This window comes from Homo sapiens, chromosome 17 (genome assembly GCF_000001405.40).
Source record: "Homo sapiens chromosome 17, GRCh38.p14 Primary Assembly".
Taxonomy (NCBI): domain Eukaryota; kingdom Metazoa; phylum Chordata; class Mammalia; order Primates; family Hominidae; genus Homo; species Homo sapiens.
In genome coordinates, this window is record NC_000017.11 from 28,784,100 (window position 1) to 28,796,983 (window position 12,884).

At 43.3% G+C, this 12,884-nt stretch overlaps 1 protein-coding gene across 27 annotated transcripts in view; it reads right to left on the reverse strand.

The window, feature by feature from the left end:
• The window catches only part of FAM222B (family with sequence similarity 222 member B), a 99,025-nt gene that overhangs the window by 28,120 nt on the left and 58,021 nt on the right, over positions 1–12,884 (reverse strand). For 10 of the 27 annotated variants that reach the window (XM_047436381.1, XM_047436379.1, NM_001288635.2 and 7 more), the window contains one exon: positions 6,279–6,326. The exons of 12 other annotated variants lie outside the window; for them this stretch is intronic. The gene's annotated coding sequence lies outside the window, so the exon portion shown is untranslated. Of the gene's footprint in view, positions 1–6,278; positions 6,711–12,884 lie in introns of all 27 variants that reach the window. 5 more of the 27 variants (XM_047436376.1, XM_047436374.1, XM_047436372.1 and 2 more) reach the window with 2 other exon arrangements.

Here is a 12,884-nt window from a genome sequence, read left to right on the forward strand (position 1 = left end):
GCCGAGATTATTTTGAAGATTAAATTTGGGTTTAACATATTCCAGTGCTTAGGTGCCTGATACACAGTAAACATTATTTACATGTTGGCTCTTGTGGGGCACAGTGGCTCACATCTGTAATCCCAGCTACTCAGGAGGCTGAGGTAGGAAGACTGCTTGAGGCCAGGAATTTAAGACCAGCATGGGCAACGCAGTAAAATTCCAACTCTTTAAAAACTTTTAAAAAATTAGCCAAGTGTGGTGGCATAAACTTATAGTCCCAACGACTTAGGAGGCTGAGAGGACAGAATTGCTGGAGCTCAGGAGCCTGAGCTTGCAGTGTGCCATAGTGACACCTGTGAATATCCACTGTACTCCAGCCTGGGCAACAACAGAGTAAGATCCCCTCTCTTAAAAAAAAAAAAAAAAAAAAAAAAAAAAAAAAAAAAAAAAGGCAATAATCATTACTATTACTTTTCACTGGGCGCGGTGGCTCACGCCTGTAATCCCAGCACTCTGGGAGGCTGAGGTGGGCGGATCAGGAGATCGAGACCATCCTGGCTAACACAATGAAACCCCGTCTCTACTAAAAATACAAAAAATTAGCTGGGCGTGGTGGCAGGGACCTGTAATCAAAGCTACTCAGGAGGCTGAGGCAGGAGAATTGCTTGAACCCAGGAGATGGAGGTTGCAGTGAGCTGCTCTGTCACCCAGGCTTCAATATCCAATGGCGTGAAACACGGCTCATTGAAGCCTCAACCTCCCGGGCTCAAGTGATCCTCCCACCTCAGCCTTCTGAGTAGGTGGGACTACAGGTGTGAGCCACCATGCCCAGCTATTTTTTTTTTTTTCCTTTATGTAGAGATGGGGTCTCACTATGTTTCCCAGGCTGGTCTTAAACTCCTGGACTCAAATGATTCTCCCACCTCAGTCTCCCAAAGTGCTGGGTTTATAGGTATGAGCCACTGTGCCCAGCCTTAATTTGAAATTTAAAACAATCCTAATCTAGATGGAACAAGTATTATTCTCTTTCTACAGATAAGGAAACCCAGGCTCAGAAAGATTAAGTAACTTGTTCTGTGATATAAAGCTGGGTCAGTGGATCTGGTATTGAATCTCTGTCTTAGTTCCTAGACATGTGATCATTCCATTAAATATTTTCCAATCTGCAGGCTGTGACCAGCCTTTTAAAAGTGTTGAATTTAAAATGCCACAAAATAATAGTAAGCATACTTATTTTTTCATGACTGTTATCTATATTCTATGTGTGTGTTTACTGAGATGCAATCTTTATCGTGGGCATAGATAAAATGTCTGAAAAACATTGAACGGTTCCATAGCTGCCTCTCTAGTCAATGTTTAACAAGCACATATTATATCCCTCTGATTACACTATTATATACGACAAAAACACACAATTCTAAGCCGTGGTTTTGATGATGATGATGATGAGGATGAGGATGATATTATTTTTGAGACAGAGTTTCGCTCTTGTTGCCCAGGCTGGAGTGCAATGGCACGATTTCAGCTCACTGCAACCTCCGCCTCCCAGGTTCAAGCAATTCTCCTGCCTCAGCCTCCCAAGTAGCTGAGATTACAGGCATGTGCCACCATGCCCGGCTATTTTTTTTTTTTTTTTGAGACAAAGTTTCACTCTTGTAGCCTAGGCTGGAGTGCAATGACGCAATCTCGCAATCTCAGCTTACTGCAACTCCATCTCCCAGGTTCAAACGATTCTCCTGCCTCAGCCTCCCGAGTAGCTGGGACTACAGGTGCCTGCCACCATGCCCTGCTAATTTTTTTGTATTTTTAGTAGAGACGGGGTTTCACCATGTTAGCCAGGATGGTCTCGATCTCCTCTCCGCCTGCCTTGGCCTCCCAAAGTGCTGGGATTACAGGTGTGAGGCACCACACCCAGCTAATTTTTGTATTTTTAGTAGAGACGGGGTTTCACCTTGTTGGCCAGGATGGTCTCGATCTCCTCACCTCGTGATCTATCCACCTCGGCCTCCCAAAGTGCTGGGATTACAGGTGTGAGCCACCACACCCGGCCATAGGTTTTGTTTTTTTTTTTAAGTGTGCATGTAATTACTGACTTCCTAATGAATTGGAGGAATCACCTCTCCTAGGCCAACACTTTGCAATGTAACTCATTCTTATGCTTTGGCTAGCCTAACACTTTGAAATCAATTCATAGTGAAAATCCTTTCAAAGTGAAGGATAAGACAGCAACTATAAGCAAGGTAAATCCGCTGGGAAAATGACTATACATAGGCAAAGGAAAGCTTGAAGTGGTCAGACTTTTATTCCCCCAGGGGAGAGCTGTATTATTCACACAGAGTAAACTGTATCAAAACACAATACAACTAATGATGGAATAGTTACCTCTCATTCTCAAGCAATCCTAGCACAGAAAACCCTTCCCCTTGTATCCTCATTCTCTCCCTGAATGTAAGAAGTAAACCCTGACTTTAAGCCTACTCTCAACTCATACCTTTCCTAAGTCAGTTTTCATTTGGACACTTGTGCTGTGACATCTTTTGGAAGCTGGGCATCATACAGCCCGCCCAGGTCTCTAGCAGGAAGCATCTCCCTGCTCCCTATATTATTTTGAATTTTCTGGGAAAAAGGATTTCACATGTGTACTTGGCCATGTACCCACTATGTATCCATTTGGTCTGACAACTTCTTAGAACTAGTTCTCTGTGCACAACGCCTTGCCATACATTGCTAGTGAAGAGTTTCAGAAAGGACAGTAAATTCAGGGCAGGGAGAATGAAGTTTTACTTATAGCTAACACACTGCCCTTCACTGTATTTTTTTTTTTTTTTTTTTTTTTTTTTTGAGACAGAGTCTCGCTCTGTCGCCCAGCCTGGAGTGCAGTGGCGCGATCTCGAGTGCAGTGGTGCGATCTCCGCTCACGGCAACCTCCACCTCCTGGGTTCACGCCATTCTCCTGCCTCAGCCTCCTGAGTAGTTGAGACTACAGGCGCCCGCAACCACGCCCAGCTAATTTTTTTGTATTTTTAGTAGAGACGGGGTTTCACCATGTTAGCCAGGATGGTATGATCTCCTGACCTCGTGATCCACCCTCCTCGGCCTCCCAAAGTGCTGGGATTACAGGCGTGAGCCACCATGCCCAGCCCCCACTGTATCTTCTATTCTTCTGTTATCTAGGGCTAGTTTCCCAATCTTGCCAAGGCAGATTATAAGGTAATACAGAAAGACAAGTTTGATACATTAATGCATTCTATTCCCTTTAGGCCCTTCCTTCTCCTCCCCCAGCCTGAGTATGGACCATGAGGAATCCTGATATGTAATAACCTTTGTCAAAGGCTTCTATATAGCCTTAGTGAAAATCAAAGCACTTACATTGCTTGTCACTGAGACTCACTATAACTTGAAGATTTATGGTTCACGCTCCACATGTCCAAGGAATTAGCAGGTTTCTGAAGCTAAAGGGTCTCTGAAAGCTCAAGAGGCTGCTAAGCTTAAAGGGGCCCGAGAATTGAAAGCTTAAAGGAAGAGGTGGAGCACCCCCTTCCACACCTGGCAGACCACAACTAGCTAATGAAATTTGCAATGCTGGGTCAATCTACAGGAAGGAAAAACAGATATACAGTCCCTGTTAGAATAATACTTTCATAGCTAGGGTAAACACACAGATAAAGATTCTGAAATTCACTTTAGGAAGCTTCCTCATTTCAGGAACTGTCTGCAAAACAAATAAAAAACTAATAAAGTAGTCTTTTTTTTTTTTTTTTTGAGACGGAGTTTCGCTCTTGTTGCAGGCTGGAGTGCAATGGCACGATCTTGGCTCACCGCAACCTCCACCTCCTGGGTTCAAGCAATTCTCCTGCCTCAGCCTCCCGAGTGGCTAGGATTACAGGAATGTGCCACCACACCCAGCTAATTTTGAATTTTTAGTAGAGATGGGGTTTCTCCATGTTGGTCAGGCTAGTTTTGAACTCCCAACCTCAGGTGATCCGCCCGCCTCGGCCTCCCAAAGTGCTGGGATTACAGGCGTGAGCCACCGCACCCAGCCTAAAGCAGTCCTTTAAACCTCTAAAGTGTTGAAAGTACCACAACTCACTCAATGATCAGCAGAATTATTTGGCTCCCTTCTGTGGACCTGAGAAATTCAAAAGTCATTCAGAATTGCTTTTTTGTTTGTTTTTGACACAAGGTCTCACCCTGTCATCCAGGCTGGAGTATGGTGGTGCAATCATAGCTCACTGCAACCTTGAACTTCTAGGCTTAACGGATCTTCTTGCCTCAGCTTCCTGAGTAGCTGGGATTATAGGTGCACACCATTGCATGTGGCTAATTTTTTTGTTTTTTATAGAGACAGGTTTTTGCCATGTTGCCCAGGCTGGTCTGGAACTCATGAGCTCAGGCAATCTGCCTGCCTCGGCCTCCCAAAGTGCTGGGATTACAGGCATGAGCCACCGCGTCCGGCCTCAGTATTGTTATTTATCAAAGTGTGTGACTGCTTCTAACCTGTCAAATATGCATCTTATACTACATATTAAGTCCCACCAAACAAGTCATTTAAGTCAACATTATTTTAGCATTGAGTTAATCGGGGAGGAAAAATCCAATAAATATACATGTAACTCTAAAGATGCCCAAATAATTGTAATTTGCCCTCCCTTTTAAAATTAATTTACTTTTGTTTTTTGAGTCAGAGTCTCACTCTGTCATCCAGGCTGGAGCGCAGTGATGCAATATTGGCTTACTATAACCACTGCCTCCCAGGTTCAAACAATTCTCCTGCCTCAGCCTCCCGAGTAGCTGGGATTACAGATGCCCGCCACCACACCCACCTAATTTTTGTATTTTTAGTTTAGTAGAGATGGGGTTTCACCATGTTAGCCAGGCTGGTCTTGAACTCCTGATTTCAGGTGATCTGCCTGCCTGCCTCGGCCTCCCAAAGTGCTGGGATTACAGATGTAAGCCACAGCGCCCGGCCTTGCCTTTCTTTTATCTCAAAGATACCTCAAAAAAAAAAAAAAAAAAAAAAAACTAACACCCCCCCGACAAGTAATCTTATGGATAGTGGTAGAAAACAAAAGTTCAAAATTCTTCTATTACTGGTACACATCTTCTTCATTCTGTGTCCTTTTTTTTTTTTTTGAGATGGAGTCTCGCTCTGTTACGCAGGCTGGAGTGTGCAGTGGCGGAATCTCAGCTCATTGCAACCTCTACCTCCTGGGTTCAAGCAACTCTCTGTCTCAGCCTCATGAGTAGCTGGGATTACAGGCACCCACCACCATGCACAGCTAATTTTTTGTATTCTTAGTACACACGGGGTTTCACCATCTTAGCCAGGCTGGTCTTGAACTCCTGAACGATCCACCTGCCTCGGCCCCCCAAATTCCTGGGGTTACAGGCGTGAGCCACTGTGCCTGGCCCACTGTCCTCTTTAATTTCTTCTCTCTTTGGGACCTCCCTTACCAACTCAGTGTCCTTATCAACTTTTACCCAGTTCTATTAAGTCACTTCAATTGAATTAGAAATGGAAGCTACCCAAACAGAATGAGAAGAGTACTGGATGCAGTGATCACTCCCACCCAATTGCAATGAGCCCCAACAGGGCCTACTCTTGGTTTCTAAATACTGCATTTTCCATTGAAAGGAACCAAGGCTCCTTGGAGAATTGACTGAGGCAGAGAAAGTACTAGATGAGTCTAATATATCTTATTGTGCAGGAAAGGAAGTGCTCAAAGAATAACAGTGAAATATCAAAGGACAAAGAAGGCACAAGATGCTTAGTTGGTGAGGGAAACCCCAGAGACAGAAGTTTACACAGTAGAAATTAGAGAAGACATTGAGTGGGTACACTGGGTAAAGCAGGCATGTTACCAGAATACAACAGTTGTGAATTTTTCTTTTCTACCATTGCCTGTAAGGTGTTAGTTTGGGGAGTATTTATCTGTCAACCTATTGAAATAAAAGAATGGCAGATTATTTGGGCATTTTTATGATTAAACATATATTTATATAATTTTTTTTCTTGATTTACTGGCCAAATCGGGAATAATCTGAGCATCAAAATAAATAATAAAAGATGATATTTCATTGAATAAAACAAGAAATCATTAGTTCATACTAATGTAAACAAATACATTGGAAGGCTGAAAAGGAATGCAATATTTGTATAGTTTCTAAGCCCTGTCTCCTAAAAATACTAATTACAAAGGGAAAATGAGTAACTTTACTTAGGAAAAGCCTAGCAAACACCACCTTAATCAAGTGATCAAACATTATCAGTAACGATACAAATCAAAATTCTGTACCTTTTGAAATCATGCAGTGAAGAACACAGCATCACTCCTGTGATATTCCTGTTGAAGATATGTTACCTAAATTAAACACAAGGAACCACCAGACAAGTCCAAATTGAGGGACTTTCTACAAAATAACTTAATAGCATCAAGGTTATGAACATCAAAGAAGGCCTGAAGAAACTGTTCCAGACTGGAGGAGACTAAGACAACATGAAAAATAAATGCAATGTGTGATTCTGACCTGGATCCTTTTTGCTATAAAGCATATAACTGGTATAATAACAAGCAACATTTGAAGAGGATCTGATAATTATATGGAAGTAATGTGTCAATGTTACTTTCCTGATTTTGACAGTTGTATTGTGGTAAAGTTGGAGAATGCCCCTTGTTTATAGGAAATACTAAAGTATTCAAGGATGATGGAACATCAGGTCAGCAACACTGTCAAATGATTGAAAGAAAAAAAATTATTTCTAGCATACTTACAACTGTTCTATATATTTCAAATTGTTTCACTTTTTTTTTTTTTTTTTTTTTTTTTTTTTTTAGAGACAGAATCTTGCTCTGTTGCCCAGGCTGGAGTGCAGTGGCGAGATCTTGGCTCACTGCAAGCTCCGCCTCCCAGGTCCACGCCATTCTCCTGCCTGAGCCTCCTGAGTAGCCGGCGTAGCTGGGACTACAGGTGCCCGCCACCACGCCCAGCTAATTTTTTTTTGTATTTTTAGTAGAGACGGGGTTTCACTGGGCTAGCCAGGATGGTCTCGATCTCCTGATGTCGTGATCTGCCCACCTCGGCCTCCCAAAAGCTGGGATTACAGGTGTGAGCCACTGTGCCTGGACAAATTTTTTTATTTTAAAAAAATACAAGGTTGAAGTCTAGAAAGGGTGGGGTTGGAGATCAAAAAGAGATGAGAGTGGTCTGTTAGCAACTATTCTCATTTATCTTAATGGAGAAGACATCTCTAAATTGGTGAGTGTGCCACTGGGGTTCTTGCCACTTGGAATAGGTTTCCTGTATCTTTCTGCCTCATCAACTTCCAATTTCTTCTCAACAGTTTTTTGAATAACATTTTCTCCAGTGCCTATACTTCAAATTATCTCCCTACTTCCACTCTGTTCTGGGAATGCTTCCACTGTGAGCATTCATGGACTCCCTTATTCTAAAGATAGAGAATTTCGCCATTGGAAAGCAAAAAACAAAAAACAAAAAACAAAAAAACACCTACCCTAAGCCAGGTGCAGTGGCTCATGACTGCAATCCCAGCTCTTTGGGAGATTGAGTCAGGAGAATCACTTGAGCCCAGGAATTTTTTTTTTTTTTTTTTTTTTTGAGACAGAGTCTAGGCTGGAGTGCGATCTCGGCTCACTACAGCCTCCACTTTCTGGGTTCAAGTGATTGTCCTGCCTCAGTCTCCTGAGCAGCTGGGATTACAGGCACGTGTCACCACGCCCAGCTAATTTTTGTATTTTTAGTAGAGACTGGGTTTCACCATGTTGGCTAGGCTAGTCTCCTACTCCTGACCTCAGGTGATCTGCCCGCCTTCGCCTCCCAAAGTGCTGGGATTAAAGGTGTGAACCACCTGTGCCTGGCCATGCCCAGGAATTTGAGACCACCCTGGATAGCAAAGTGAGACCATGTCTAAAAAAATTAGCCAGGTGTAGGCCAGGCGCAGTGGCTCACGCCTGTAATCCCAGCACTTTGGGAGGCCAAGGCGGGCGGATCGCGAGGTCAGGAGATCGAGACCATCCTGGCCAACACGGTGAAACCCCGTCTCTACTAAAAATACAAAAAAATTAGCTGGGCGTGATGGCAGGCGCCTGTAGTCCTAGCTACTTAGGAGGCTGAGGCAAGAGAATGGCGTGAACCTGGGAGGCGGAGCTTGCAGTGAGCCGAGATTGCGCCACTGCACTCCTGCCTGGGCGACCCAGCAAGACTCTGTCTCAAAAAAAAAAAAAAAAAAAATTAGCCAGTTGTGGTGGTGTGTGCCTGCAGTCCCAGCTACTTGGGAGCTAAGGTGGGAGAATTTCTTAAACCCAAGAGTTTGAGGCTTCAGTGAGCCGTCATCGTGCCACTGCACTCCAGCCTGGGCGACAGAGTGAGACCCTGTCTCAAGAAAGAAGAAACAAACAAGTTGGGCGCAGTGGCTCACATCTGTAATCCTAGCACTTTGGGAGGGTGAGTCGGGTGGATCACCTGAGGTCAGGAGTTCAATACCACCCTGGGCAACATGGTGAAACCCCATCTCTACGAAAAATACAAAAATTAGCCAGGTGTGGTGGCATGTGCCTTTAATCCCAGTTACTTGGGGGGCCAAGGCACGAGAACTGCTTGAACCCAGGAGGTGGAAGTTGCAGTGAGCCAACATCACATCATTTCACTCCAGCCTGGGTGACAGAGCGAGGCCCTATTTCAAAAAAAAAAAAAAAAAAGAAAGAAGAAACAAACAGAAAGAGAAATGTCTATCTTGAAGGAGGAGCTGTTAATGATCCTCCCTTCTTCATACCTGACATTCACCACCATCTCTTTAACTGCCATGTTCACTTTTCATTTTTTCATCTTTTTTTTTAAGATAGGGTCTCACTCTGTTGTCCAGGCTTCATTCAGTGCAGTAGTGTGACCACAACTGCAGCCTCGACCTCCTGGGCTCAACTGCTCCCACCTCAGTCTTCCCCAACCCCCAACACCCCCACCCAACAGTTGGGACTACAAGCATGCACCACCACACCTGGCTAATTTTAAAGTTTTTTGTAGAGACAGGGTCTTACTATGTTGCCCAGGCTGGTCTTGAACTCTTGGGCTCAAGCAATCCTCCTGTCTTGACTTCCCAAAGTGCTGGGATTGCAGTTGTGAGCCACCATGCCCACCCCATGTTCACATTTTAGTAAGAGTTTCTCAAGGTCCTTCCTTCTAAACACACATCCAGAACCTCAAGTGTCATGCAAACTCTCTTATATTTTAAAAGAAAGCCTTCTTATATCTTCCAGAGTGTTAACCGTTTTGACATTCTTTCCTCACATCATCCAAAAAGTTTCAAATGACATCATAAACTTTATCTCCAACTTCCTGAAAAGTACCCACTATAGCTAGCTTCTCCACTTTCACACCAACAGCAGCTGGCCAGCAGGGACTTAGCTATTCTATAGCAGAATGGTTTTCAGTAACCAATGAAAAGCTTTGTACTACAAGGATGATGTTTATATACTCCCCCTTTCCTCTTCTTTCATTGTTAGTGAGGCCTGGGAAGTTCTAGAGGTAGAACAAGTGTGTTATGACCCTTCTGCAAGCAGCCATCAACTTATCCCCTACTTTAAACAAACATTAACAAAAAATAGGCTCTTAAAATGCATTGTCATATTCTGCCATACTCAACCAATTTTTTTTTTTTTTTTTTTTGAGACAGAGTTTCACTCTTGTTGCCCAGGCTGGAGTGCAATGGTGCGATACGGGCTCACTGCAACCTCCACCTCCTGGGTTCAAGCAATTCTCCTGCCTCAGCCTCCAAAGTAGCTAGGATTACAGCCATGCACCACCACGCCAGGCTAATTTTTTTTGCATTTTTAGTAGAGACAGGGTTTCTCCATGTTGGTCAGGCTGGCCTCAAACTCCCGACCTCAGGTAATCTGCCTGCCTCGGCCTCCCAAAGTGTTGGGATTACAGGCGTAAGCCACGGCTCCCGGCTCAACCAAATTTTTATGCAGCCAAGCCCATGAAGATATCCAAGGAAACTGATACACCCTTAGAAAGAGTACACAACAACAAAGGATACGAAGGCAGGCAACATCCAAAATGAAAACAGCAGCAAGTCACCTGCAAATCTAATAACAGCACCAGCTGGAATCTACTTGTCTTTTGCTTTTTTTTTTTTTGGAGACAGAGTCTTGCTCTGTCACCCAGGCTGGAGTGCAGTGGTGCGATCTCGGCTCACAGCAACTTCCATCTCCCGGGTTCAAGCAATTCTTCTGCCTCAAGCCTCCCAAGTAGCTGGGACTACAAACACGTGCCACCATGCCCGGCTAATTTTTGTATTTTTAGTAGAGACGGGGTTTCAACATGTTGGCCAGGATGGTCTCAAACTCCTGACCTCAAATGATCTGCCCGCCTCAGCCTCCAAAAGTGCTGGGATTACAGGCATGAGCCACAGTGCCCGGCCTGTCTTTTGCATTTTAAAGAGATAAGATTTTGCTTATACCCACAACATTTTAAGAAGTAACAAAAAAATCCAAATAAAATTAAAATTTTAAAAATATTTTGCTTGTAAGTCCACTTTTCAGGGTAACCTTCAAAAAACAATACTGACAGGAAAGTTTGAAGAAAGCAGAAGGGGACCTACAAGTCTTCTTCTTCAAGAAAGGCAAATTATGTCCCTTGTTTCTATCCCTCTTTATCCATCTTATAAGGGTTACTTCCAAAAATATGTAACTTTCTATTAAAATAACATACTAGCTGGGCATGGTGGCTCATGCCTGTAATCCCAGCACTTCGGGAGGCTGAGGTGGGCAGATCACTTGAGATCAGGAGTTTGAGACCAGTCTGGCCAACGTGGTGAAACCCCATCTCCACTAAAAATACAAAAATTAGACAGGTGTGGTGGCACGCGCCTGTAATCCCAGGTACTTGGGAGGCTGAGGCAGGAGAATCACGTGAACCAGGGAGGCCAAGGTTGCAGTGAGTCAAGATCACACCACTGCACTTCAGCCTGGGCAATAGAGTGAGACCCTGTTTCAAAAAAAAAAAAAAACCCTAAAATTCCTATACAGCAAAAGAGACGTGTCCTCAGTGTCCTATTGATTTCCTTTTCTTTTTGAGACAGTCCTCCTCTGTTACCTACCCTGGAGTACAGTGATGGGATCTCATATCACGGCAACCTCCACTTCAAGCGATTCTCCCACCTCAGCCTGCCAAGTAGATGGGATTACAGGCACATGCCATCGTGCCCAGTTAACTTTTGTATTTTTAGTATAGACAGGGTTTCGCCGTGTTGGGCAGACTGGTCTCGAACTCCTGACCTCAAGTGATCCTCCTGCTTCGGCCTCCCAAACTGCTTACAGGTGTAAGCCACCGCACCCAGACTTCTTTTGTTTTTAAGACAGCATCTCACTCTGTTGCCCGGGCTGGAGCACAGTGATGCAATCACTGCAGCCTCGACTTCCCGGGCTCAGGTGATTCTCCCACCACAGCCTCCTGGGCATCTGGGACTACAGACATGTGCCACCACACCCAGCTAATTTTTTAAAATATTTTTTGTAGAGAAGGAGTTTCACCATGTTTCCCAGGCTGGTCTCAAACTCCTGGGTTTAAGCAATCCACCTCATCCCCCCAAAATGCTGGGATTACAGGCACTGGATTACAGCCAATGTCCTACAGACTTTTAAAGTGTCCAAACCAAGTTTTCTTTTGCACTTAGAAGAGAATTTAAAACGCAATCAGAAAACCAGATTGTACCTTGCCAATTACTATAATCTTAAAATTAGCATATATTGCTATGAATGACATTTAGTTAATCTCAGTCTATTCTCCTATGATAAGCAACAGTGAACTCAAGGGTATGATCTCAGAATGTAAAAAGCCATTAAGACTGCTCCTAATAGATTATTTTAAAATATGATCCTATAAGTCTCTTCCAAGGAAGGACAGTATGTTTTAATTGTGAGATGGACTTTTCAATGCTTTGACTTCTTGTCTAAAAGAGGCCTGGAAAAAGAAATAACTGCAGTGGAGTGAGGGTGTGAAATGTGTCATACCGGTTATTAAAATCCATCAAGTTCATACTTCAGTCTTGGTTTAACTGCAGCCAAAAACTGACTTGCAAGTAATTATCATCACTATCTGCAATAAAAGTTAATTGGACATAATTGAACTAACACCCTAAGCGGAGGGAAGCTGTAACTGGCAAAGAGCCCATTCCTCCTGCTTCTTCAATCTGCAAATGAAACTGCTAATGATAATTTGTGGACAAACATGAAATTGCTCTCATGGTTTCCCCACTGCAAATCACTCAGCAATTCCAGTTAATACCCAGCATGTTGGGCCAGGAGAAAAATCATTAACTGGTGCTTCCTTTGATAAAGATGAATTTTAACAATAAACAAGCCCATTAAGGCTGAGAGTTACTGAGAATTGTTAAATTTCCCCTGGATGCGCTAAAGTAAAGCACTGTGGTCTGATCTCCACACCATGCTACTATGCACTAAATGCATCATGTGCCACCAGTGTGTAGTAGTAAGAAGAGACAGTATGCAAAGACAGAAGCTACTGTTATACTAACAATTTATCTTCTTTTAACAAAATCCTGGAAAAATCTTATTTTTCAACAGGCAAATGGCATTGTTGATCTACTTCAACAGCAAAGATTAAAAAAAAAAAGAAAGAAAGAAAGTGGACCCAACACCTTTCAGAATAATTGTGAGGATTAAATGAGATGGTATTTGCAAAGTGGTTAGTACACTGCCTATGCTTGACGGCAGTTATAACTATTATTTGCTAATGTCAGACTTCTCTGAAAACCATGGGGAGATAGGGATAGGTTTTAAGGCAAGTAACATTATCAGATGTCTATTTAGAATAAATCTTCTTCAAGTGTGAAAGAAAAACAGGAGATGGTAGAAGCCAGTTAA